Source organism: Homo sapiens, chromosome 12 (genome assembly GCF_000001405.40).
Source record: "Homo sapiens chromosome 12, GRCh38.p14 Primary Assembly".
Taxonomy (NCBI): domain Eukaryota; kingdom Metazoa; phylum Chordata; class Mammalia; order Primates; family Hominidae; genus Homo; species Homo sapiens.
In genome coordinates, this window is record NC_000012.12 from 69346699 (window position 1) to 69374213 (window position 27515).

The window sequence follows — 27515 nt, forward strand, 5'->3', positions numbered from 1 at the left end:
GGTGATCAGCCTGCCTTGGGCTTTCAAAGTGCTGGGATTACAGGCATGAGCCACCGCAGCTGGCCATTTTTTTTTTCTTTCTTTTTTTTTTTTTTTTTTTTGAGACAGAGTCTCACTCTGTTGCCCAGGCTGGAGTGCAGTGGTGTGATCTCAGTTCACCACAACCTCCGCCTCCCGGGTTCAAGTAATTCTCCTGCCTCAGCCTCCCAAGTAGCTGGAATTATAGGCGCACCACCACGCCCAGCTAATTTTGTATTTTTAGTAGAGACGGAGTTTCACCATGTTGGCCAGGCTGGTCTTGAACGCCTGACCTCAGGTGATCCACCCACCTCAGCCTCCCAAAGTGCTGGGATTACAGGCATGAGCCACTGCACCTGGCCCTATTTATTATTGAAGAATCAAAATTAGGCCTAGCCTGAAAAATGAGATTATTCTTGATTTTTGAACAGGGTCCTTGAACTGTCATTTAAAACCAAATCTGGTAATCTTTAGAGGCCACTGATGAAAAATAAGGGTAACTACAAAGTGATGACACTTTGTGTGGCTCAGAATCTGTCCTCTTAGGCAGATACAGAAGTGCAGTTCTTTTTGAGTTCTGGTAGCATTGTTTTAAAAGCTGTGCACAGCCTCCTGAGATTGCTATTTTCAAAGGTAGCATTTAGTTGGATATATGTTTGGGTAGGTTTTATTTTTAAAATGCTGTTGCTTTCTAATGACCCCTTATGTTCTAATATGGAAAGGGGAGGCAAAGTATTGTGAAAAGTAGTTGGTAAAGTAGGCCGGATGTGGTGGCTCACACCTGTAATCCCAGCACTTTGGAAGGCCGAGGCGGGCGGATCACGAGGTCAAGAGATCCAGACCATCCTGGCCACATGGTGAAACCCTGTCTCTACTAAAAATACAAAAATTAGCTGGGCATGGTGGTACATGCCTGTAGTCCCAGCTACCTGGGAGGCTGAGGCAGGAGAATTGCTTGAACCCGGGAGGCAGAGGTTGCAATGAACTGAGATTGCGCCACTGCACTCCAGCCTGGTGACAGAGTAAGACTCCATCTCAAAAAAAAAAAAAAAAAGGTAGTTGGTAAAGTTGTTCACATGAACCTTATTTATAATAGTAAAACACTGATTTATAATAATAAAAAATTTGCTATAGTAACAAAAAGAGTCTAGAGTAAGAAACTAGCTGAGCAACGTGGTGTCACACTATACACCCATTAAGACAACAGGCACATGTGTCATGTCCATTTTGTGGAAAAGATATGTAAAATAATTTTAAGTAAAAAAGATAAATATAAAAAAGTGAATGCATACAAAACAATTTCACAAAATTGAATGTTACTCAAAAATCACAGCTCATTTTAAGCTGCACAAAATAGTCATTTTTTTCTTTATAATTGCTCAAATTCATAATCAAACAGAAGAAAGTTCCTGTCTTGGAAGTAGTGCTATGCCCCAATTCTTCCAGAGCCAGTACTTTAAACAATTCCATTTCATTATTTTCCTGTAGACTAATTCTTAGGACATCAGCATATCTCTCTTCAAGCATTAAAAAAATCTCTTTAGAGTCAGTGGATCAATAGACAGTTCCTGTTTTCCACACAACTGAAAGGGTGGAGCCCCCAAACCACAAGGGGAAGAAGGAAGTTAAAAGATGTTAAATACTGGGGCCAGCTCACCCTGGTCAGCCTAGCACTCTGACCTAGCAGTCAACATGAAGGCTCTCATTGTTCTGGGGCTTGTCCTCCTTTCTGTTACGGTCCAGGGCAAGGTCTTTGAAAGGTGTGAGTTGGCCAGAACTCTGAAAAGATTGGGAATGGATGGCTACAGGGGAATCAGCCTAGCAAACTGTAAGTCTACTCTCCATAATTCCAGAGAATTAGCTACGTATGGAACAGACACTAGGAGAGAAGGAAGAAGAAGAAGGGGCTTTGAGTGAATAGATGTTTTATTTCTTTGTGGGTTTGTATACTTACAATGGCTAAAAACATCAGTTTGGTTCTTTATAACCAGAGATACCCGATAAAGGAATACGGGCATGGCAGGGGAAAATTCCATTCTAAGTAAAACAGGACCTGTTGTACTGTTCTAGTGCTAGGAAGTTTGCTGGGTGCCTGAGATTCAATGGCACATGTAAGCTGACTGAAAGATACATTTGAGGACCTGGCAGAGCTCTCTCAAGTCCTTGGTATGTGACTCCAGTTATTTCCCATTTTGAACTTGGGCTCTGAGAGCCTAGAGTGATGCAGTATTTTTCTTGTCTTCAAGTCCCCTGCCGTGATGTGGGATTTTTATTTTTATTTTTATTTTATTTTATTTTATTTTTAAAGACAGTCTCACTGTGTGGCCCAGGCTGGAGTGCAGTGGCATGATCTCAGCTCACTGCAACCTCTGCCTTCTGGGCTCAAGTGATTCTCGTGCTTCAGCCTTCTGAGTAGCTGTGACTACAGGTGTGTACCACCACACCCAGCTAATTTTTTGTATTTTCAGTACAGATGGGGTTTCACCATGTTGGCCAAGCTGGTCTTGAACTCCTGGCCTCAAATGATCTGCCCACCTCAGCCTCCCAAAGTGGTAGGATTACAGGTGTGAACCACTGCACCCAGCCGACATGGGATTTTTAACAGTGATGTTTTTAAAGAATATATTGAATTCCCTACACAAGAGCAGTAGGAACCTAGTTCCCTTCAGTCACTCTTTGTATAGGATCCCAGAAACTCAGCATGAAATGTTTTATTATTTTTATCTACTCTACTTGATTAACTATCTTTCATTTTCTCCCACACAATTCAAGATGTGCCATGAGGAAAAGTTATTTTATAGTTTAGTACATAGTTGTCGATGTAATAATCTCTGTAGTTTTCAGATTGAATTCAGACATTTCCCCTCAATAGCTATTTTTGAATGAATGAGTGAAGGGATGAAATCACGGAATAGTCTTGTTTTCAAGATTCTAACTTGATATCCAAATTCACCTTTAGATATTATAAGAAAATTTCTATCAGAAAATCCTTATGTTTTTCTGATTAAAAAAAGCATTTTTCCATCAGCCTATGTATCTGCTATGAATTTACAAAATCTACTCAACAGCTCTGTTGATTTTTCTGTTCTTGGCTGAATGTTGCCTGAGGGATGGGAGCACGGGAAGGGTAAAAGCAATGGAACAAACATGTATTTTAATATTTTAAAAGTATGTTATATTGTTCGTTGGTGTTACAAGATGATTTGCATTACAAAAGGATTCTCTTACAAGTCCCTTATCTTAACACTAAAGTGCTAAGATATTTTATAAGTAAATCTTTATACTTATAAAACAAATCAGTAAAATAGAAGTAGCTAAGTAGAACTGATTTTGCTATAGAGTATAAGTCACTTAGTGTTGCTGTTTATTACTAAAAATAAGTTCTTTTCAGGGATGTGTTTGGCCAAATGGGAGAGTGGTTACAACACACGAGCTACAAACTACAATGCTGGAGACAGAAGCACTGATTATGGGATATTTCAGATCAATAGCCGCTACTGGTGTAATGATGGCAAAACCCCAGGAGCAGTTAATGCCTGTCATTTATCCTGCAGTGGTAAGACAAGCTAATATTTGACCAATCTGGTTATACTTACAAGAATTGAGACTCAATACAAATGAAAAAGCCTTGAAAGGTTCATGAGGGACCTAGAAAAACTACATCTCAACTTCCAGAAAGTCATTATTATTTTCCTCATAATTCCCTGAGTAAGAAATTAAAGAAGTGGTATCATAAAAGGTTGATGTTTTTTAATATACAGAAGTTTCTGGAATGACCTATTAATTTACTGTCAATGGCCTTACTGATGCTTTGTCCAGAACAATGCCATTGCTCCTGCTTACTTTGGGGAGGTTTTGGGATAATTTAGTTGTATGGTCCTTTTTCAATTGTTTTACTTTTTTTTTTATGAAATGTTCTAAATGTATAGAAAATTAGAGACATTAGTATAATAAACAGCCATATGCCCATTATGCACTTTAAAAGTTGTTAACATTTTGCCATAGTTGCTTCTTCTATGCCTTTTTTTTTTTTTTTTTTTTTTTTTTTTTTTTGCTGAGAGTTTTTTGTTTGGTTTTGTTTTGTTTTATTTTGAGACAGGGTCTCCCTGTCCCCAGGCTGTAGTGCAGTGGCACCATCACAGCTCACTGCAGCCTCAAGTGATCATCCCACCACAGCCTCCCAAGTAGCTGGGACTACAGGTGTGCACCACCATGCCTGGCAAATTTTTGAAATTTTTAGTACAGGCAAATTCTGTGTTGCCCAGGCTGGTCTTGAACTCCTGAGTTCAAGCAATCTTCCCACCTCAGCCTCCTTAAGTGCTGGAATTACAGGCGTTAGCCACTGTACCTGGCTACTGCTGAGAGACTTTTAAGTGAATTAGGAACATGATGATATTCCATTTCTAAATTCTTTAGTTTACATCTTCAAAAAATACAGTTCCTGTAGAATTATTATTGTAAATAACAAATTAACTTAAGGATTTATTTATTTGGAGTGAAACAAATATTTTACTGAACTCATAAAAATAGAAATACCATGTGGAATCCTCAGTGTCAAAAATATTGCAGAAATCTTGCAAAGTTGATATTATTAAATTGTTAAATATTAAAATTCCCAATAAAGAACATTAATCTTATTTCTAAAATCCAGTTAATTAAAAAAATTTATATTATATAATAATATTTGGTCATTAAATAAAAATTAGAAAATACAAATAAGAAAAATAACACCCATAATCTTACTACCCAGAGGTTTATAACCATGGGTAAATTCTGGTATATATTCTTCCAGAATGTATATCAATCATGTGTATGAATGTTAAATTATATCATACACATATAAACCCACATACAAACATGTAAATACTGTGTGCTTTTGCAAAAATTAAATTGTATTATACACACGGCTTTACAATTTGCTTCTTATCACACAAAATTATTTGCATGTCAGCAAATACAAATCGGTTTTTAATGATCTTTTGCTCCATTTTCCAGATGAGAAAAAAATACAAATCTGTATCATCATTTTAAAAGAATGACTAGAATTTTAATATATGAATATTCTATAATTTACTGATCCAATTGTTACTATTGAGCACTTAGGTTGTTTCCATTTTTCCCTCATAAATTGCTATGAATAGCTTTTTGTATACATCTTTGGGTGCATTTCTTATTTCTTTTGGATAAATTTTCAATAATAGAACTGCTGAGTAAAATATCACTAGGTGTTTTTTTACAGTGTCTAGTGCAAAGAAGACCTTTAATCATTTTGTTAATACTTCCAGAGCTTCCAATGACTTTGGTAAATGAAGAAAAAAATGCTTCATTTCATGCTGAATGGGAGAGAATGAAGAGAGTTTTCCCCAACAATTACACATATATGGACTCATAGAAAATAATATCTTACCATTCTTTCCACAGCCTAACAGAAAAAAGCTGGCTAAACCTAAATTTAAAATAAAATATCTATTAAAGTTTTTATTCCTTACCACCTGTCTTTCAGCTTTGCTGCAAGATAACATCGCTGATGCTGTAGCTTGTGCAAAGAGGGTTGTCCGTGATCCACAAGGCATTAGAGCATGGTATGTTTTAAGTGTTAAAAGGGAAAACTATCTTACTCTACTGTTGATATATACAATGAGAGCAGACTTTTAAAGACCAAAGTATGCTAATGACACCTCAAAATTGCAGCTTTTGGCTTATGCTAAATGATGTATTACCTACATCCTTGAAGAAACAATCTACTTTAACTGATCCAGAATCTTACTCTTTTACTCCTCAATTTATTTTAGGGGATTTCTAGAGTTTTAAGATGCTTCACACTCTATCAGTTCCTTGTCATATCTTGAAATTCTTTTTAGAATAAGTAAGTGTGGGCCGGGCACAGTGGCTCACGCCTGTAATCCCAGCACTTTGGGAGACCGAGGCAGATGGATCACCTGAGGTCAGGAGTTCGAGACCAGCCTGCCTAACATGGCAAAACCCCATCTCCACTAAAAATACAAAAAATTAGCTGGGTGTGGTGGCAGGTGCCTGTAATCCCAGCCACTCGGGAGGCTGAGGCAGGAGACTTGCTTGAACCCGGGAGGTGGAGGTTGCAGAGGATTGCGCCATTGTACTTCAGCCTGGGCGACAGAGTGAGACTCTGTCTCAAATAAATACATAAAAAATAAATGTGGAATTCACTTTGCAGTTGCTGCTGTACAACGCACATTACTCAATCTTTATGTTCGGCATTCTATGCTCTACTGAGAAATTTGGGTAGGAGTGAAGTATTTTGTATACATATCTTCATTTAATAAATAGCAATAGCTGGGTCTATCTTACTATTTTATCTATTGATAAAATATTTTGTTTCCCCAAGGAGTGCGAAGTATGTATATTACAATGAAGATATGTTTTAACCTTTCACCATTTGCTTCATCTTTTTCTACAGGGTGGCATGGAGAAATCGTTGTCAAAACAGAGATGTCCGTCAGTATGTTCAAGGTTGTGGAGTGTAACTCCAGAATTTTCCTTCTTCAGCTCATTTTGTCTCTCTCACATTAAGGGAGTAGGAATTAAGTGAAAGGTCACACTACCATTATTTCCCCTTCAAACAAATAATATTTTTACAGAAGCAGGAGCAAAATATGGCCTTTCTTCTAAGAGATATAATGTTCACTAATGTGGTTATTTTACATTAAGCCTACAACATTTTTCAGTTTGCAAATAGAACTAATACTGGTGAAAATTTACCTAAAACCTTGGTTATCAAATACATCTCCAGTACATTCCGTTCTTTTTTTTTTTGAGACAGTCTCGCTCTGTCGCCCAGGCTGGAGTGCAGTGGCGCAATCTCGGCTCACTGCAACCTCCACCTCCCGGGTTCACGCCATTCTCCTGCCTCAGCCTCCCGAGTAGCTGGGATTACGGGCGCCCGCCACCACGCCCGGCTAATTTTTTGTATTTTTAGTAGAGACAGGGTTTCACCGTGTTAGCCAGGATGGTCTCGATCTCCTGACCTTGTGATCCACCCACCTCGGCCTCCCAAAGTGCTGGGATTACAGGCGTGAGCCACTGCGCCCGGCCACATTCAGTTCTTATCAAAGAAATAACCCAGACTTAATCTTGAATGATACGATTATGCCCAATATTAAGTAAAAAATATAAGAAAAGGTTATCTTAAATAGATCTTAGGCAAAATACCAGCTGATGAAGGCATCTGATGCCTTCATCTGTTCAGTCATCTCCAAAAACAGTAAAAATAACCACTTTTTGTTGGGCAATATGAAATTTTTAAAGGAGTAGAATACCAAATGATAGAAACAGACTGCCTGAATTGAGAATTTTGATTTCTTAAAGTGTGTTTCTTTCTAAATTGCTGTTCCTTAATTTGATTAATTTAATTCATGTATTATGATTAAATCTGAGGCAGATGAGCTTACAAGTATTGAAATAATTACTAATTAATCACAAATGTGAAGTTATGCATGATGTAAAAAATACAAACATTCTAATTAAAGGCTTTGCAACACATGCCTTGTCTGTTTTTATTTAGACTCCTATAGTGTCTCTGAAGAAAAGAATACAGATATTTGAAAAAATATGATTTGGTGCTCTTAATATCTCTTATATCGTCACTTACCTCACTTAAATAGTCAGATATTGCTGGAGAAAAATTCACAAGCATGCTGACAGGTCTCACTTTAAATTCATAACCATAAATCTCAAATGAGCCCTCAAGTCTGCCTGACCATTTTAGTTACTTCTCTACAATCCTTCCATTTTTATGTCCCTAGTCTCCAAAATGACTGTTACTATTTTACTTTTCCTCTTCTCTCTTCAAAGCCTCAAGACACACATTCAGCCTCCTCCTCTGCCCCCTTATCCTCCACCCTCCTCTGCTCTCAGCAGATAACCTGGCCTCATATTACACTTCTAAAACAAAAGCAACTTCATACCAAGCTTTCCCTTCTACATCCCAAAGCAGCAGTCATACCTTCCCACAGGCCCATCCTTCCTTCCTTCCCTCCTATTATCAGGATGAAGAGCCTCTGCTCCTGCCAACAGCACTGACTCCACATGCAGTTTCCCTCCCATCCCTCTCACTACTCCAAGTCAGGCTGTTTCCTGCATCCCTAGTTTGTCCCTTTTAGCTGGATCACCTCCATCATTCTACAGTCTGCCCTAGTAACCTTCCATCTTACAACAAATACTCCACTGACCCTACATAATCCTCCAACTGCAACTCCATTCTCTGCTCCCTTTACAGCAAGACTTCTGGGGAAGTATGTCTGTACTTACCAACTCCATGACCTCACCTCCCAGTGTCTTTTCAACCCTCTCTAATCTGGCTTCTATCCTCACCCAGCTGAAACTGCTCCTCCAGGATTTCTCCCATGATTCCTCAGTGCTAATTCCAGTGATCATCTTGTTCATCTCAGCAGCATTTGACAAAGTGAACCGCTTCATACTTTTAGCAGTTTTTTAATCCCTTGGCTTTTCCTTATTTACATCCTACCTCACTGACTGTTCTTTCTCAGTCCTTCTTGCTCACTCTTTCTCTGCTATTTAATTTCTAAATGTGAGAGTGCCTCAGGGCTCAAGTCTATAATAATTTTATATACTACATATTTTACTTATTTGTCTCTTCTCACCAAAATATAACTTCCAAAATGACAGAGGTTTTTCCACTTTTTAAAAAAACATTGAAATAAACTCAATCTTTTAAAAAATATAAAAGTACTGTACAAAGATCTTTTATTTTTCAGAACTGTTTTGAGAGTAAATAGCCAACATGATACCCAATGGCCCTGATTACATCAGTGTGTAATTCCTATAAAGACATTCTCCTGCATAAAACCTCAAAACAATTATCCAAATTAGGAAATTAACACTGATACATTACTACCACCTAGTCATCAGATTCCACTCAATTTCATCGATTGTCCCAATAAGACCTTCATAACAAAAGCATCTAATTCAGAATCATATTGTATTTGGTTGTCATGTTTTTTAAGTCTCTTTGAATCTGGATTATTTCCTCAGTTGTTTCTTTCTGGACTTTTTATGACCTTGCCACTTTTGAAGACCACAGACTAGTTATGTTATAGAATGTACCTAAGGTTTTTCTGGTGTTCTCTCGATTCCATTAAGTTATGCATCTTTGGTAGGAATACCACAGAAGTGATGTTCTCACTGCATCCTTTCAGGTGGCATTCAGTTTTTGCAGTTTTGATTTGCCCCATTATTGATGATGTTCACTTGGATCACTTGATTAAGGTGAGGCCTGCAAGCCATCTTCACTGTAAAGTATTTGGGGAGGAGGTGCCTTGAGACTACTGCTCATCAAATTTTCAGTTTGTTTGTTTATTTATTTAGAGGCAGGATTTCACTCTGTCGCCTAGGCTGGAGTGCAGTGGCGCGATCTCAGCTCACTGCAACCTCTGCCTCCCAGGCTTATGCAATCCTCCCGCGTCAGCCTCCTGAGTAGCTGGGACTACTCGCACGCGTTACCATGCCTGGCTAATTTTTGTATTTTTAGTAGAGATGGGGTTTTGCCATGTTGCCCAGGCTTGTCTGGAACTCCTGAGCTCAAGCAATCTGCCTGCCTTGGCCTCCCAGGTGCTGGATTACAGGTGTGAACCACCGTGCCTGGTCATGCATTTATTTATTATATCAGTATGGACCCATGGCTTCTATTTTATTCAAATCATAAGGAGTTATAGTCCATTACTATTATTTATTTTGATGTTCACACTGTCCTCGATTTGGCCAGTGAGCCCCTGCAAGTTGTCTTCTGTGCCATTTCGACATATTTCCATCATTCTTCAAGCACTTTCTTGTTTTCTGGCACAAGATATTCTAAGGCTCACCTTGTTCCTTCCTTGCTTCCAAAAATGGAAAAGGCATTTCTCCAAGGAGCCCTGATTCCTCAAAGTGCATAATAGTATTAAAAAAACAGGATCTGGGCACTAGGGTATCACTGTTTCCAGGCCCTATCAGTGAACAGAGCTGGAAGATATATGTATTTACACTATATTTATCTCTATATCTATCTATTTATATTGAAAATCATGAATCCACACCAATATCTCCAATTCTAATCTCACACCACAGGATTCACTCTAGTTTTCTTCTTTCGCATGTTTTAACTCTCTTCTCTGACAGTAAGTAACTTAGCATCCATTATACTCATTATCCTTAAAATGTATCCTTAGTACATTTACGTATTTGATGGGTTTGCCTGTATGTAACCAATTCCCCAACTCTGCCCAAGTGCTCTCCACTCAGGCTCTGACATCCCTCAGTGGGTTGCTTCCTTCCCCAACACCTGGACACCCTCCTTACCATGATACATCTCTGATTTTATAATATGCTGAACCACTGTCCTGATAGGAAGAATAGAAATTTTTCACTCATTCCACTTCTGTATTCTAAACACCTAGAAGAGTGACTGGAACATGGTACATGCTCAATCAATATCAGTTGATCGAATAAATCTCTTGCTGATTATTTAGTATGTTCCCTCCAAACTGAACATTCTAAGCTTTTTGTTTTTGAGACGGAGTCTCGCTCTGTCACCCAGGCTGGACTGCAGTGGCGCGATCTCAGCTCACTGCAACGTCCGCCTCCTGGGTTCAAGCGATTCTCCTGCCTCAGCCTCCCGAGTAGTTGGGACTACAGGTACTCGCCACCACGCCTAGCTCATTTTTGTATTTTTAGTAGAGAGGGGGTTTCACCATGTCAGGAGATCGATCTCCTGACCTCGTAATCCGCCCGCCTTGGCCTCCCAAAGTGCTGGGATTACAGGCGCGAGCCACCGCGCCCAGCCTTTTTTTTTTTTTTTTTTTTTTTTTAATTAACTCTTCAAGGCCACATGATTCCAGTACAACCGCTTGCGGGGTTCCAAGCCACTTCTTGGCTATGTAAATGCAGCACATAGACTAGCCATGTGAGGGCAGCAGAGGGCCACTACATAGGTGCAACCTTTGGCTTCAAAATTCTTGGACCATTCTGACGTGATTAAACTAAAAACGAATGAGTTTATGCATATCGAGATACCCTGAGGTGTACAAAGGATGAGTCAAGGTAGCGGAGAGAGAGTTGAAGAGTGACAGCTGAGAAACAGAGATAGGACATGTCCAAGAAGTGCCAGGATAACCCAACAACACAGGCTGATTGAGGAAACTGCCAGAGATTAGACAAAGTAGACTGAAGAGGGAAAGCAATGTTTGTTGGAGATTTTGCTTTAGTTTTTGATAAATATTTCTTAGTCATACCAATTGTTTTAAATATAATTACGCCCCCAAACCAAATTTCTACTCTTATTCTGGCAACAGAATAAAAATCAATATCAATGTTTGATCATTTTCAAAGAAACTCAGTTCCTATCTTGGTTGAAATGCAGTGACATCCATATGACAATTGAGCTCTTCATGTGGCACTAATATAACTAAGCCCTGAGCACATCCCTTGCACTTCTATTTAGTGAAGTCTTTTAAAAAGTATTTTCTTTACAGTTGTTAAGTGGAATTACTAAAAATTACAATCAGCAGTATTTTCTACTCTTTTAGCTTATTTTTTAAAATATTTATCTCCATGCTTTTCAATATTACACCTATATTGCTTCTTCTTGATTTTTCCATTTTAAGATACTGACTTCCTACTATGGAAGTTAAAGATTAAGCTCTATTTCCTCCTCCTCCATCCCCATCAAGCATAGTACCCTTCTCCAAAGCCCATCCTTCTAAATGTAATTCTTTTTTTGAGGGGGAGGGGGGATCAATACTCAGTTTTTTTTTGTTTTGTTTTTTTTTTTTTTTTGAGACGGAGTCTTGCTCTGTCACCCAGGCTGGAGTGCAGTGGTGCGATCTCGGCTCAAGGCAAGCTCCGCCTCCCGGGTTCACGCCATTCTTCTGCCTCAGCCTCCCAAGCAGCTGGGACTACAGGCGCCCACCACCACGCTCGGCTAATTTTTTTGTATTTTTAGTAGAGACGGGTTTTCACCGTGTTAGCCAGGATGGTCTCGATCTCCTGACCTCGTGATCCGCCCACCTTGGCCTCCCAAAGTGCTGGGATTACAGGCGTGAGCCACCGCGCCCGGCCAATACTCAGTATTTATGTAACAATAAATACAATTACTTTCCTTTCTTGCACAAGATTTTGTTTTCCCTAGAATTAATAGCTGCATAATTCTTACAGCCGCTTAGTTTTCTGTGTACCTGTCATGAGTTAAACTCCAAACTCTCGGTCAAATCTCCTCTTGATTCAACGCCAGCTGGAATTTTGTCAATCCCATCCTTCTGAAGCAGTGTCTCCCAAAGATTTCTGACCGAATCTAATCTAGATGCGTTGCCGTCTATGCCTATACACAGCTATTGTTCCCGGAGCTCTTTCAGTATCATCTTGGGATCTTACTATTTTCTGTGTTTGTTATTTATTGTATTTCCTGCATTTCATAATTTCCTCCTTCTTGGCTTATTCCCTCATTTTGGTGGATCAGATCTACAGGATCTTCCTGGAGGTACTGAGAAAGGTAAGATAGGTACTATTTTTTGTGTGTAGTGATTTAGCACATCTGAAACTCTATTCTATTCACACACTAGATTGGTAGTTGGATGAGTATTGAAGACTAAATCGGAAGTAATTTTCCCTCAGAGTTTTGAAGACAGTGCCGTATGGCTTCCTAGATTCTAACTGAGCAATCTGAAGCCACTCTGATTCTATAGTCTGTATAACCTGGAAGGGTGTGGGATCTCTTTTTCCTCGATGTTCAGAAAATTCACAATGATATGCCTTGACGTGGATGCTTTAATATTTGTGCTGGGTGCTTAGTAGGATCTTTCAGTGTGGAAACTCATCTCCTTAACATCTGGACAACTTTTTGAAGTCATTTATTATTTCCTGCCTTTCATTTTTTTTTTGGTTTGGAACTCCTGCACTGGTCCTGTGATGTGACTGCAGCCGCCAGGCGCGTGCGCAGTGTACACTGCGTGCGCATACGCGAGCCCGTTGCGCCTGCGCGCGGTGCGGCCGTCGCCCCTCTTTTCGCGGCGTTCTCCACCTGCGCGGGCCTGAATGGCCTTCAGGAGCACAGTCGGCCTGAGGAGTTGACGGTTACTCACCGCCGTGAGCCCAAGTAACTCGCCCTCCTTCGGCTAGAAACCCTCCGCCTGGGCCCGCGCGACAGGAGCGCGGTCTCTGAGGGGAGCGGCGACCCCGCCAGCCCCGGTCTCTTTCCCTGGCGGCGGCGGCTTCTTCCGTGGGACAATATGTTCAAGAGAATGGCCGAATTTGGGCCTGACTCCGGCGGGAGAGTAAAGGTCAGTGCCCGGACCGCCCCTCTTCCGGGGTGGCTCTCCCGCCTCGGTTCCTCCCTGCGCGGCGCGGGGAGGGCCCACTGGGTTTCCTTTCGCGCCTTTTCTCCTCGGGTTTGAACCGTGGTTTCAGGTTGGAGAGCGAGTCAGAGCCATTGAGCGAAAAACCGGCGTTCATTGGGCCCCAACTTCCTCGCGTCACTGCCAACTCCCACCCCCGCCAAAAAACAAACAGATAAATGGTGGCTTGGGGAAACCCGGACGTGGCTGCCAAGGAAACGGGCGACTCCGAGGGCTGGGAAAGCTCAGCTTGGTGCACATTCGCTGCCAATCTAGGTTATTGGTGAAGCGGTGACGCCACCCTCCTGGTGTGAGGATAACAATAACTGTAGCAAACAGTCGCTGAGCGCTTACCCGCAGTATTTCCAAGTGCGGTAACTGAGACACCGAGGCATACGAAAGCTAAGAAAATTTGCTGGAGTTCATGGTGTTCACAAAGCCTCAAAGCAAGAGCATAACACTGTGCCTGGCACATGGGGAACATTCAGTAAATGTCAACTTCTTTTGTTTTTGATGAAATTACCATAGACCCTAGCGTAATGTTTGACATTGTAATATTTATTTCCCTCACACAGCCCCTGGCACGTTAATTTTTTTTTTTTTTTGAGACGAAGTGTCTGTCTTGTTGCCCAGGCTGGAGCGCAATGGCACGATCTCGGCTCACTGCAACCTCGGCCTCCCAAAGTGCTGGGATTACAGGCGTGAGCCACCGCGCCCAGCCGTGGTTCATTCTTTTTAAAGAAAAATTTCCTTTCCTTTATAAATAAAAATCAGAAGGGGTACAAATAGTTGTTTTTATCAGGAGCCAGTGGGTCCTGCCTTAAAAATTAACGTGCAGGGCCGGGCAAGGTGGCTCACGCCTGTAATCCCAGCACTTTGGAAGGCCGAGGAGGGTGGATCACCTGAGATCAGAAGTTCAAGACCAGGCTGGTCAACATGGTGAAACCCCGTCTCTACTAAATATACAAAAATTAGCCGGGCGTGGTGGCGGGCACCTGTAATCCCAGCTACTAGAGGGGCTGAGGCAGGAAAATCGCTTGAACCCGAGAGGCGGAAGTTGCAGTGAGCTGAGATCGTGCCACTGCACTCTAGCCTGGGCGACAGAGCAAGACAATGTTTCTTTAAAAAAAAAATAGCAATAATTAGTAGGTTTTAAAATACTTATGTGTGTGTGTGTGTGTGTGTGTGTGTGTTTTGTTTTGTTTTTTTTTGAGACGGAGTTTTGCTCTTGTTGCCCAGGCTGGAGTGCACTAGCGCAATCTCGGCTCTCCGCAACCTCCACCTCCTGGATTCAAGCGATTCTCCTGCCTCCAAGCGATTCTCCTGCCTCAGCCTCCTGAATAGCTGGAATTACAGGCATGCGCCACCATGCCCAGCTAATTTTGTATTTTTAGTAGAGACGGGGGCTTCTCCGTGTTGGTCAGGCTGGTCTCGAACTCCCGACCTCGGGTGATCTGCCCGCCTCGGCCTCCCAAAGTGCTGGGATTACAGGCGTGAGCCACCGTGCCTGGCCGCTTTTCTTCATTTTTATTGTTGTTGGTTACATTCACTCAGCACTTTTCACATGTGGTAAATCTTGCTCATTGTTCTTCAGATACATTTCTGTAACTGAGCCATTGGTTTCAGATTCATGTGCAACATTCAATATTTTCACTTCAATTGAAATTTTTTATCTTTCCAACATAATCTGTCAATACGCACTGCCTTTGCACTTATCAGATATAAGAAATATGTATGTTAAACTAAGGACAAATGTAGCAAACATGTCATCAGCCACTATTTACCAAGCTTCAGTCATCCAAGTGACTCTTGGCCATTTTTGCCATGTCTGAATTCAACTGTAATATTTATTGTAACATTTACATTTAAATCAGTTTATTTTTTAAAAGCCTCTTTCTAAGCGTTAATGTTTTTTAAATTGTAGGGTGTTTGGTTGTTTTTTTTTTTTTTTTTTTTTGGAGACAGAGGCTCGCTCTGTTGCCCAGGCTGGAGTGCAATGGTATGATCTCGGCTCACTGCAACCTCTGCCTCCCAGGTTCAAGCAATTCTCCTGCTTCAGCCTCCCAAGTAGCTGGGATTACAGATGCACACCACCAAGCCCAGCTAATTTTTGTATTTTTAGTAGAGGTGGGGTTTCACCATCTTGGCCAGGCTGGTCTTGAACCTCTGACCTCAGGTGATCCACCCACCTTGGTGAAATTGTAGGTTTTAATTTCTAGTTACAGTTATTACTATTTTTTAATACTGATTAAACACGTAAGTAAAAAAGTGAAAAATGTTTGACCTTTATTCTACCTCTCACAAATTACTCCTAATATTTATACTATACTTTGGGAAACACTGCCACAGGCTAGGTGATAAGGACATTGCCACAGGTGATGCCAGTCAGAATTGGCCATTTTTATTTCAATGCCTAGCTTTCAGGTGTTTAAGAAAAGGCCTTTTGCATTTCTTTTAACAACACTCTAAAAGCGCTTTACATGGTAATTTAAATAAAAGCATTTTCAAAGAGGGAACATTGTAATTATTCTGGCGTTTTTTGTGTTAATATGAAAGGATGTGTCTGAAATTGATTTGAGAGAAATCCATATTATAAGCAAACTATAGATTGTTAGCCTGCCATTCTTTAAAGCAAGTTTTCAGAGCTCTTATTCTGCATATTTAGCTAATGGTACAATATTCATTTATTTTAAAATTATTTTTCTTTTAGGGTGTTACTATCGTTAAACCAATAGTTTACGGTAATGTTGCTCGGTATTTTGGAAAGAAAAGAGAAGAAGATGGGCACACTCATCAGTGGACAGTATATGTGAAACCATATAGAAATGAGGTAGGCACTCGTTTTTTCTGTAACTGTTTTACTTAAAGTTGTCTGTAATTTGTTTTGCTTAAAGACAACCTGTAGTTTTTTTTTTTTTTTTTTTTTTTTTTTTGAGATGGAGTCTTGCTCTGTCGCCCAGGCTGGAGTGCAGTGGCGCGATCTCAGCTCACTGCAAGCTCCGCCTCCCGGGTTCACGCCATTCTCCTGCCTCAGCCTCCCGAGTAGCTGGGACTACAGGCGCCCGCCACCACGCCCGGCTAATTTTTTGTATTTTTTGGTAGAGACGGGGTTTCACCATGTTAGCCAGGATGGTCTCAATCTCCTGACCTCGTGATCCACCCGCCTCGGCCTCCCAAAGTGCTGGGATTACAGGCGTGAGCCACCGCGCCCGGCCGACAACCTGTAATTTTTTATAGTAACTTTCTGATTATAAAATTGGTCCGTTGTAGGAATGTTGTCAAAAAGTTTTTGAAAAAATAGAGAACTGTCATCTTCATATGATACTAGAAATCAATTTTCCAAAAATGTTTCCTAATTAAAATTAAGATAACAAGAACTATTTATGCTATAAATACAGTACAAGTACATCTTCCTAACATCATATCTAAGTTAACATAGTATTTAATCAGGAGTTTCAGGAATAAGCAGCTAATCCTTAAAGTAATAATGTGGTAATAAGAATGTGAAAGACAGCTCTGCTGTGTCATCTGATTGCTAGTAATTTTGTTTCACTGCTGAATCTTCAATGCCTGGAACATAGCCAGTACATAGTAGGCATTTAACAGATATTTATTGAGTGAGTAAATTATTCCTCTATTTAAAACCCTTCAGAGTCTACCCAAAAACTTGCATGTGAATATTGATACCAGTGTTATTCATAATAGCCAAAAAGTGGAAACAATTCATTTGTCTATCAACTGATGAATGGATAAATAAAATGTGATATATCCATACAATTGAATATTATCAAGCAATAAAAAGTAAAGTACTGATAAAGTAAAGATGCTACTACATGGATGAAACTTGAAAGCATTATGCTAAGTAAAAGAAGCCAAATATAAAAAAGGCCAAATATTATATGCTTTTATTTATATGAAATGTCCAGAAGGGGCAAATCCATAGACAAAGAAAATAGATAAGTGGTTGCTAGTGGGTGGGGGAGAAAGGGTATTGAGGTAAGTGCTAATGGATATGGCTTTCTTTTGTGTGATAAAAATGTTCTAAAATTGTAGTGATTCTTATGAGACTCTGTGAATATAACTAAAAACCATTGGCTAGGCAAAATGGCTCATTCCTGTAATCTCAGCACTATGGGAGGCCCAAGCGGGAGGATCGCTTGAGCCCAGGAGTTTGAGACCAGACTGGCAACATAGTAAGACTCCATCTCTACAGAAAAAAAAGGTATCATTATAGTAAGATTCCAGTTTATTTTTTAAATAATAAAGTTAGATATGAATGTAGATATAAGTAATTTAAAAATTCCTAAAAGTAAATTAAAAAGTTAATAAACATTACTATTGAATGTGACTTATTGCTTTGCATTTTTTTATTCTTCTATAATGAATTATATATTTTAAAAGCCACTTTTGCCAACAGAAACCCTTTTATTTGCCATAACTAATGAATATGCTTCTGTACTTTTAAAATAAAGAAAATGAGGAGTTTTTGTATTCAACAATCTTAGATTGCTTTAAATTAGTTGTCCTTAGCTTTATGTAATATAATTTTTTGTTTGTTTGAGATGGAGTTTCTCTCTTATTGCCCTGGCTGGAATGCAATGGTGTGATCTCAGCTTATTGCAACCTCCGCCTCCTGGGTTTAAGTGATTCTCCTGCCTCAGCCTCCTGAGTAGCTGGGATTACAGGCGCCGCCACCATGCTTGGCTAATTTTTTGTATTTTTAGTAGAGATGGAGTTTCCCCATGTTGGCCAGGCTGGTCTCAAACTCCTGACCTCAGGTGATCCACCTGCCTTGGCCTCCCAAAGTGCTGGGATTACAGGCGTGAGCCACCGTGCCCGGCGTATGTGATATAATTTTGTTCTTTGAAATTGACTATAGATTTGCCTTATATTTCTGTAATAGTACCAGATATGTACTGTTGTTTTAATGGAAAAAAATCAAAATTGATTTAGAATATTATCTATAGAGGTGTATTAAAACAAGATTTGCCAAAAAAAAAGTTAATTTGGGACGTGTATTTCTATACATTACAAATCATAAAAGAATTCAACACAGGCTTCCTTTTTGTTTTTTTAAAAAAAGCAAAATAGGCCAGGTGCGGTGGCTCACGCCTGTAATTCCAGCACACTGGTAGGGCGAGGCAGGTGGATCACCTGAGGTCAAGAGTTCGAGACCAGCCTGGCCAACATGGTGAAACCCCGTCTCTACTAAAAATACAAAAAATTAGCCAGGCATGGTGGCAGCCGCCTGTAATCCCAGCTACTCAGGAGGCTGAGGCAGGAGAATTGCTTGAACCTGGGTCAGGGAAGTTGCAGTGAGCCAAGATCATGCCACTGCACTCCAGCCTGGGCAACAAAGCGAGACTCCATCTCAGGAAAAAAAAAAAAAAAGCAAAATAACTTCCCAGGTGTAGTTCATGTTTTTTAGAAAATTAGATTCCATAAAATTTGAAGGGAAGTATGTTTTTTATAAAACTAAGTATATACGCTCAGTGTATTTTTTTTCCTAGTTTTCATTTGTAGATCATAAAACTAACTAATTCCTTATATTTTAGGATATGTCAGCATATGTGAAGAAAATCCAGTTTAAATTACATGAAAGCTATGGCAATCCTTTAAGAGGTACAATATAGTCTTTTGATTCACAATATCCAAAGTTAAAAATGGCTAGGAAACTAAACCGATAATTTACTATTTTTTTTCTGTCTTTAGTTGTTACTAAACCTCCATATGAAATTACTGAAACAGGATGGGGTGAATTCGAAATAATCATCAAAATATTTTTCATTGACCCTAATGAAAGACCTGTGAGTAGCATTAATCTTTGTAAATATAAAATAGATTTCTTAGTAAATGTGAACATGTAATAATACTTAATGAATAGTGTTCATTCAGATGTGTTTTATGTAAATTTATGGCACAGTGTATCTTGCCATGAGTTAAGTTTTTCATTTTTAAATGTAGCGCCTTTCAAAATCCTTTTTTTTTTCAAGTATGGAAAAAAACATATAATATGAACATGTATTGGAAAGAAACCATGGAAATCAGATGACTACTGCAGCAAAAAAACTTAAAACTATTATTATCATTCGGTTATTAGTAATAAATAAGTTGAGCCCATATGCTGTGTAAAATAGTTTTTATAGTTTTTGGTAGTTAAACCCTAAGAAACAGTGTTTTTGCTTTTTTAAGCTGTCATCAGTACTAGCGCTTCATTTTATATCTTATTTATGAGTCTTTATTTTTATAGCCACTGGCTTTTTCATCTTTTGATCTCTTCTTATCAGATTGTTGCTTGATAATGTAAAAAAAAAATCCCTCCAGGCTTTTGCTTTGATCCTTCAGCAACTTTGTTAGGTTGTGATACCCTCATTTTAGAGATCAGGATACCAAGGCTCAGAGGTCAAGTCACTGCTCAAAAACACTCAGTTAATTATGGTAGAGCTAGTTTTTGAACCCAGATATTTGCATTCATACCTTTTTCTAGTATTTTTTCTTTTGAGTAAAACCACTAGGCCTTTTTTTTTCTTAAGCCTGTAGGGTCAAAACTCAGTAATGGCTCTCACATTCCACATATGTGGCTGGGGTTTAACTCCAGTTTCAAGGCTTTCACATTCATCACCATTTTATCTTGTTAGAATCACATCAGTCTTTTAGCACCAAACATTTACATTTTAATTATCAGATTATATTTTTTAAACTGTGTATGTATTTTTAAAGGAGCTGAATATCACCTGGACCAGTATTTCAGCAAACCGGTTCCTAACTGGCTGCATCAGAAACACCTGAGGTGCTTGCTTATTTATTTATTAATTTTTGTGAGGTGCTTTTTAAAAATTCAAGCTCCTAGGCCTCACCTTTTGGAGAGTCTGATTCAGTAGGTTTGGAATGGGGCCAGCACCCCAGGTGATTTTGATGCACAATGAGAATTGGGACCCAATGACGTAGACTTACTCTTTTCTTCCTACGTAGGAATTTATTTAGGCAATATCTCAAATGAGAATCTAGTTTGGGCTTGCATATCTCCAATATGGAGAATTAACTTATGTCACTAAGTAAAACATCCTATTCAAGGTTGGGGTAGTTTTAGTTTTAAGAAAGCTGTACTTCGTTACGCTTCCCTGAACTTTTTACTGATTACTATTCCTACCTTAGTTTTCTTTTCTCATGAGTAAGCATCCATAGCTCATTTAAACATTTTTTGTGTTTTCATGTGATGAAGTTTTTAGATCTCCTACCATCTGTGTTGCCCTTCAGGAAAACACACTCATGTTATATTTTGTTTGGCAATAATTTTTTTTTTCTTTTGAGACAGAGTTACACTCTGCTGCCCAGGCTGGAGTACAGTGGCATAAACACAACTCACTGCAGCCTCCACCTCCTGGCCTCAAACAGTCCTCTGCCTCAGCCTCCCCAGTAGATGGGACCACAGATGCATGCCACCATGCTGAGTTAATTTTTTATTTTCTGTAGAGATAGGGGCTCGCCATGTTGCCCAGGCTGATCTCAAACTCCTGGGCTCAAGCATTCCTCTCGCCTTGCCCTCCCAAGGTGCTGGGATTACAGGCATGAGCCACCATGACCGGTCAAGAAATTATTAAATATTATATCTGCTATTTGTAAGATATTGTTTAAGGGATTGAGAAGGATACAAAAATGAGACACTGACCTTAATGAGAATAGTTTATTAGGGAAAAGAGAGCATAGAATTTAGCAGATGTTGAGAGGGAGAGAGAAGCAGCTCATATGTTACTAGAGTAGAAGCTCTTTTTAACTTTGTAAGATTGCTGGGTTTTCATTTTTATTTTGAGAATATGCTGCCTTACCTCCCTGTCTCCTCATCTGTTACCCCTTATCCCCAGTTGGAAAATAAATCTATGAAAGAAATCATTGTACCCTGTAACCTCATTATGAGACAGCTCTTGAAGTCACTCTTAGAAAGGTATATAACCTATTGCACTGCTATAGTGATTAATCTGTTTAATAGATTCCCATATAGATTTACATAGGCCTGAATTTTATTCTCTAAAAAATATTATAGGGTTTTTTAGTATTATTAAACTATTGTACTTTTTCAATAGTTAGCTCTTACAGAAAATGTCCAGTGAAGGTTTATTTAAAATATCTAAGAAAGACAAGTTGGTTGGAAGACAACTTGTGATTTACTTCTGCTACCCAGTAACCTATTATACAGATCAAGCCACTATAAAAAGAATGGTTGTTTCTAAAAGCAAAATGTCAAATTGAGTTTTCATTCCTAGAAATAGGGATTTCTAGGCAAGTATAGGCAGTTTCATTGTTCTAAGAATTTTCAAACACCACTCAAAATTACAGACATCTGTCTTGAAATGTTTTTATTGCCTATATCCGCATGAATGCCTCTGGAAGTCTGAATAATAAATTTAGGGAAGGACAGTTTTACAATGTAATTGTAAGAATTTCTTAATTGTAAAAGTCAGTTGTGCACATGGTTTTAAGAGAAGATTTTTGAAATAAGTGTAAGTCTTCTGTGTTAGTTTTCTGGTACCATAAACTGGGTGGATTAAAACAACAGAAATTTATTCCCACAGATCTGAAGGCTAGAAGTCTGAAATCAAGGTGTTGGCCATGTTTTTTCCAAAGCCTTTAGGGGAGCATCTTTCCTTGCCTCTTCCAGCCCCAGATGTTCCTTGGCTTTTGGCAACATATCTCTAATATCTTCCTCCATTGTCACATGGCCTTATCTTTCTCCCTGGTCTCTGTGTCTTCTTCTCTTAGAAGGACACCAGTCATATTGGATTGTGGTCCACCCTAATGACTTCATTGTAATTACACCTGCAAAGACCCTGTTTCCAAATAATGTCACATCCACAGGTGCTGAGAATTAGGGCTTCGTATCTTTTGCCTGCATTTATAGTCCCAGTTACTTGGGAGGCTGAGGCAGGAGTATCATTTGAGATCAGGAATTCAAGACCAGCCTGGGCAACATAGTAAAACCCCATCTCAAACAAAATATACCTTTTGCAGGGAGGTCACAATTCAGCCCATAACATCTTTATCCCATCTTTGACCTCTTTTCCAAGAAAACTGCTTTTTAACAGTTACCTGTTCTCAATTCCTCTAGAAATTACTCACTCCTGTGCATCTCATATATTTAAATCCCTAATACTGGATTTCTCAGCTTCAGATAGTATCTTTCAGTGCCTAATGATTGATTATAGGTGATCCTTTTTCGTCCTCTTTCCAAGTTTCTTTTTTTCATTTTGCCAAAGGAATTTTTTCAGAAAGGATGCCTGAGAAATAAACTTTCAGAGATATTGCCCATCTGAAATGTCCTTATTTTTTCTTCATAGTTCATTGTTGGGGAGAAAAATTCTAGGCACTAAAGGTAGATATGCTTTCTTGTCTATGAATGGAGAGAGAAGAGAAAGTCAAGAGGCCTAGCTACCCCATAGCATTCTTGACTTTGATACTTGCCAGTTCTGAGCTTGGAGCACTGTAGGGCTCCTGGGAGCTCTGGCTCACACCTCTTAGGCAGTTTTCTTAAGTTTTCAGGTTGTGGTTTTTCTCTGGTGTCATTGTTTATTATCCTTCTTGGTAGACTCATCTGCTTTCTGTCTGTTCCAGAAATTTGTTAAATTATTTGCTTTAAATAATTTGATATGTAATTCATGCTCTCTTATTTTGCTGTTATTTTAGTAGAATTCTGTGCATTTCCCTCCTCCCCTTTCTACATTCTTAGTGCATCATCTTGAGCCTGGAAGATGTCCTTTAAGTAGGATATTTCCACTTGCTGAGCCATGTCCAGGGAAATCTGACATTCTGTTAATTGAGCTAGATTGTCTTTAGGGGGAGTTGATGGTGCTTGTTTAAATTCAGTTGCAAGGAATTTTATATTTTCTGACTTTTTCAGTGTACCCTTCCTTGCTCCCTATTTCATGACTTTTTTGAAGAGTACCATTCTCTTACAATTATGCTAGCTAACTTTTTAGAAAATTATTTGGGGTCTGGTTTTCAGAACTTCAACATGAAGTCTGATGTTTTCCGAACTAGATTTTATTTTGCTGAAATAATCACACATTGTGCTACAAAGCTTTTCCTTTGATGTCTTACTATACCTGTTTTTAGGTATTTGAAGACATGTTGCTCTTGCCAAAGTGAATTATTACTGACCAACTTTTTATTTATTTATTATGTCATTTATGTAATAATCTTATAGATCCCCAAAGAAATTATCTTGCCCTCACTGAACTTTTTCATTCCCCACAGTAAATTTGTAAACTCTAATCTTCAAAGCAGTCACAATTAATCCACTTGTGTAAGTAAAAGAATTCATGTTTTAGTGATTTCTCAGTTTAATTTCTATAGCTTTATCTTGTGTTATTTTTAGTTTCCTCTCTAGAGATTCTTGAACAGATTCTTAATTACCCTCTAAAGAGTATTCATGTTAGGTAGATATGAATGGATCTAATAGGAAAATAAAGGTACAGAAAATTTGGGTGATTTGCTGCAATAAGTTGCAGTTGAAACAAGATCATGAATTTGACATGTATATACTTATTCCAGTCTCTATTTCAGTTAAAAAAATGCCAGTATCTTATGATGATAAAAACCATTGCACAGATTTGACATCTGTTTCTATTTCACAGGTAACCCTGTATCATTTGCTAAAGCTGTTTCAATCAGACACCAATGCAATGCTGGGGAAAAAGACAGTGGTTTCAGAGTTCTATGATGAAATGGTAAGAAGATTTTATAATGATAGTTTTAAAAGCATTTGAAGTTGGAGAACTTTGAAGTTATTGGGTTTTTGTTCATTTTATCCCATTAGATATTTCAAGACCCAACAGCAATGATGCAACAATTATTGACAACATCTCGTCAGCTAACATTAGGAGCCTATAAGCATGAAACAGAATGTAAGTGCCATGCATTCATAATTCTGAAAAATAACGTATTCTGTAATAGTGAAAGGGTTGTATGATTCGTGCCTTTTACACTTTAAAAAAATGAAATAGGTAAGTTTTTTAGGTGTTAAAAAACACAGTTTGTATTACAGTGGAACATGTAAAAAGGATGTTTTAAATTGTTCCCAAGTAGGCCTGCTTTCAAGAAGGGTGAAAGACAGCCTCTTACATTCGCTGAAGTACTGTTTGTCTGTTTTATTCCCTAATTACATTTAAGTATAGTTTTTTATTAGTCTTGCTTAGCCTATCATTTTCTGTTTACTAGTCTTTGCTAACAAAATCTGTGTGAAGAACCTTGCAAACCATAATTATACTTTTATATACTGTGAACTAGTTTATCTTATATTTTTGCTGATGTCATTTTACATAGTTTCAGATTAATGCTCAAGTGTTGACTACCTGAATGCCACATTGATAATCGGTCATGTTGTATTTTCTCTCTAAGCTGACATGGTCTCAGAATTCTGTACGCATTAATCTGTGCATCTATTCTCAGTCATTTGCAATTGGCATTTAATATGAAATCTATTTGACATCCCTGTGTTAACACTGATGTTACTGTTCAGTCATTTCTTTGATTATTCATTCATTACAATATATAGTGAGTACCAGTTAATGCCAACCATTGTTCTAGGTGCTAGCTGCTGAGGTTAGAGCAGTGCCTGAATCAGACAAAAAGCCCTATCGTCATGGGTCCTACATTCTAGTGGGAGGAAAACAGGTATTAAATAAACAGAACAAGGAAGTATAAGGTAGTGATTAAGTGCTATAGAGACAAACAAAGTGGGGCAGGGAGCATCTTTGGTGGGACGAGATGGTTGGAGTTTTAGATACTGATATCAAAATGTCAGTCAGGAAATGCTTTCTGAGCATTTGGAGACCTAAAGGGGTAAAGGAGTGATCTAAGGGAAGGATATTATATGTAGAGGGAGCAGTGAGGACAAAGGCCCTCAGGTAAGTACATGGCTGAAAAACAGCAAGAAGTCCAGTGTGACTAGAGTAGAGTGAACAAGAGGACGAGGAGTGGGAGATGAGATCAGAGAAGTTAATAGGGGACTAGGTCATATAGGGACTTGTGGGTAACTATGAGGGCTTCAGATTATTAAACTGAGATATGAAGTCATTTGTGAGTTTTGAGCAAAGGAATGACATCAGATTTAACTTCTTTAAAATGTTTAATTTTGTGGGTATATTGTAGGTATATATATTTACTGGGTACATGGGATATTTTGATACAGGCATACAATGTCTAAAAATTACATCCAGGAAATGAGATATCGATCACCTCAAGCATTTACCCTTTTTGTTACAAATAATCCAAATATACTCTTTTAGTTATTTTTAAATGTACAATTACATTATTATTGACTATAGTCACCCTGTTGTGCTATCAAATGCTTAATTTATTCATTCTTTCTATTTTTTGTACCAATAACCATCCTTTACCCACCTACCCACTACCCTTCCTACCCTCTGGTAACCGTCATTCTACTCTGTTTTCTGTATCTCATGAGTTTTTTTTTTTTTTTGAGACAGAGCCTTGCTCTGTTGGCCTGGCTGGAGGGCAGTGGCATGATCTCGGCTCACTGCAACCTCTGTCTCCCAGGCTCAAGTGATTCTCCTCCCTCAGCCTCCCTAGTAGCTGGGATTACAGGTGTGTACCACCACACCTGGCTAATTTTTTTTATATTTTTAGTAGAGACAGGGTTTCACCATGTTGGCCAAGCTGGTCTCGAACTCCTGACCTCAGTTAATCCACCCACCTTGGCCTCCCAAAGTGCTAGGATTATAGGCATGAGCCACCACACCCAGCCTAGTTGTTTTAATTTTTAGCTCCCACAAATAAGTGAGAATATATAATGTTTTATCTTTCTGTGCCTGGCTTACTTCACTTAATATAATGACCTTAAGTTCCATCCATGTTGTTTGGAATGACAGGATTTCATTCCTTTTTTATGGCTGAATAGTACTCTCTTGTGTATATGTACCATATTTTCTTTATCCATTCATCTGTTGATGGACACTTGGGTTGCTTTCAAATCTTGGCTATTGTGAATAGTACTGCAATAACATAAACATGGAAGTGCAGATATCTTTTTGATATACTGACTTATTTTCTTTTGGATATATACCTAGCAGTGGGATTGCTGGATCATATAGCTCTATTTTTTGTTTTTTGAGGAATCTCCAAACTGTTGGCCATAGTGGTTTTACTAATTTACATTCCCACCAACAGTATATAAGGGTTCCCTTTTCTCTGCATCCTCGCCTGCATTTGTTATTGCCTGTCTTTTCGATAACAGCCATTTTAACAGGCATGAGATGACATCTCATTGTAGTTTTAATTTGCATTTTTCTGATGATCAGTGATGTTGAGCACCTTTTCGTATACCTGTTTGCCATTTGTATGTCATCTTTTGATAAATGTCTATTCAGATCTTTTGCCCGTTTTAAAATCAGATTCTTAAGGAGTTGTTCGAGCTCCTTATATATTCTGATTATTAATTCTTTGACAGATGGGTAGTTTGCAGATATTTTCTTCCATTCTGTGTGTTGTCTCTTCACTTTGTTGTTTCCTTTGTGGTACAGAAGTTTTTTAACTTGATGTGATCCCGTTAATCCATTTTTGCCTTGGTTGCCTGTGTTTATAGGGTATTACACAAGAAATCTTTGTCCAGTCCAGTGTCCTAGAGAGTTTCCCCAATGTTTTCTTTTAGTAGTTTAATAGTTTGAGATCTTAGATTTAAGTCTTTAATCCATTTTAATTTGATTTTTGTATATGGCGAGAGATAGGAGTCTAGTTTCATTCTTCTGCATATAGATATCCAGATTTCCTGGCACTATTTATTGAAGAGACCATTTTTTTCCTCAAGTATATATTCTTGGCACCTTTGTCAAAAATGAGTTCCCTGTAAGTGTGTGGATTTGTTTCTGGGTTCTCTAGTCTGTTCCGTTGGTTTATGTGTCTCTTTTTCTGCAAGTACCATGCTGTTGTGGTTACTATAGCTCTGTAGTATAATTTGAAGTCAGGTGATTCCTCCAGTTTTGTTCTTTTTGCGGAGGATAACTTAGGCTATTCTGGATCTTTTGTGGTTCCACATAAAATTTTAGGTTTTGTTTTTTTTTTTCTATTTCTGTGAAGAATGTCATTTGTATTTTGATAGGGATTGCAGTGAATCTGTAGATTGCT

General features: G+C 38.7%; 2 protein-coding genes across 9 annotated transcripts in view, besides 4 other annotated features; both read left to right on the forward strand.

Moving 5' to 3' along the window:
• LYZ (lysozyme) lies at positions 1683-7536 on the forward strand. Its single transcript, NM_000239.3, has 4 exons — positions 1683-1846; positions 3410-3574; positions 5522-5600; positions 6455-7536. Exons 1-4 carry the CDS (start codon positions 1711-1713, stop codon positions 6519-6521), a joined length of 447 nt encoding a protein of 148 aa, NP_000230.1. The 5' UTR covers positions 1683-1710; the 3' UTR covers positions 6522-7536.
• Positions 12789-13392: an enhancer, noted in NCBI's record as "NANOG-H3K27ac-H3K4me1 hESC enhancer chr12:69753267-69753870 (GRCh37/hg19 assembly coordinates)". NCBI's record gives its function as "activates a minimal SCP1, AML or CMV promoter by ChIP-STARR-seq in primed H9 embryonic stem cells {active_cell/tissue: H9 hESC(primed)}" and the evidence as "EXISTENCE:reporter gene assay evidence [ECO:0000049][PMID:30033119]".
• Positions 12950-13139: an enhancer, noted in NCBI's record as "active region_6650". NCBI's record gives its function as "activates an Ori minimal core promoter by ATAC-STARR-seq in GM12878 lymphoblastoid cells {active_cell/tissue: GM12878}" and the evidence as "EXISTENCE:reporter gene assay evidence [ECO:0000049][PMID:35858748]".
• The window catches only part of YEATS4 (YEATS domain containing 4), a 67330-nt gene continuing 52859 nt past the window's right edge, over positions 13045-27515 (forward strand). For 7 of the 8 annotated variants that reach the window (XR_944742.4, XR_007063126.1, XR_007063128.1 and 4 more), the window contains exons 1-6: positions 13045-13325; positions 16090-16209; positions 18935-19001; positions 19092-19186; positions 24008-24100; positions 24190-24277. Coding sequence is in view for 2 of the 8 variants with exons in the window: in NM_006530.4 (NP_006521.1) it covers positions 13275-13325; positions 16090-16209; positions 18935-19001; positions 19092-19186; positions 24008-24100; positions 24190-24277 (514 nt within the window). In the remaining 6 variants the exon portion in view is untranslated. The remainder of the gene's footprint in view (positions 13326-16089; positions 16210-18934; positions 19002-19091; positions 19187-24007; positions 24101-24189; positions 24278-27515) is intronic. The other variant, NM_001300950.2, reaches the window with a different exon arrangement.
• Positions 13393-13994: an enhancer, noted in NCBI's record as "NANOG-H3K27ac-H3K4me1 hESC enhancer chr12:69753871-69754472 (GRCh37/hg19 assembly coordinates)". NCBI's record gives its function as "activates a minimal SCP1, AML or CMV promoter by ChIP-STARR-seq in primed H9 embryonic stem cells {active_cell/tissue: H9 hESC(primed)}" and the evidence as "EXISTENCE:reporter gene assay evidence [ECO:0000049][PMID:30033119]".
• Positions 13420-13579: a silencer, noted in NCBI's record as "silent region_4653". NCBI's record gives its function as "represses an Ori minimal core promoter by ATAC-STARR-seq in GM12878 lymphoblastoid cells {active_cell/tissue: GM12878}" and the evidence as "EXISTENCE:reporter gene assay evidence [ECO:0000049][PMID:35858748]".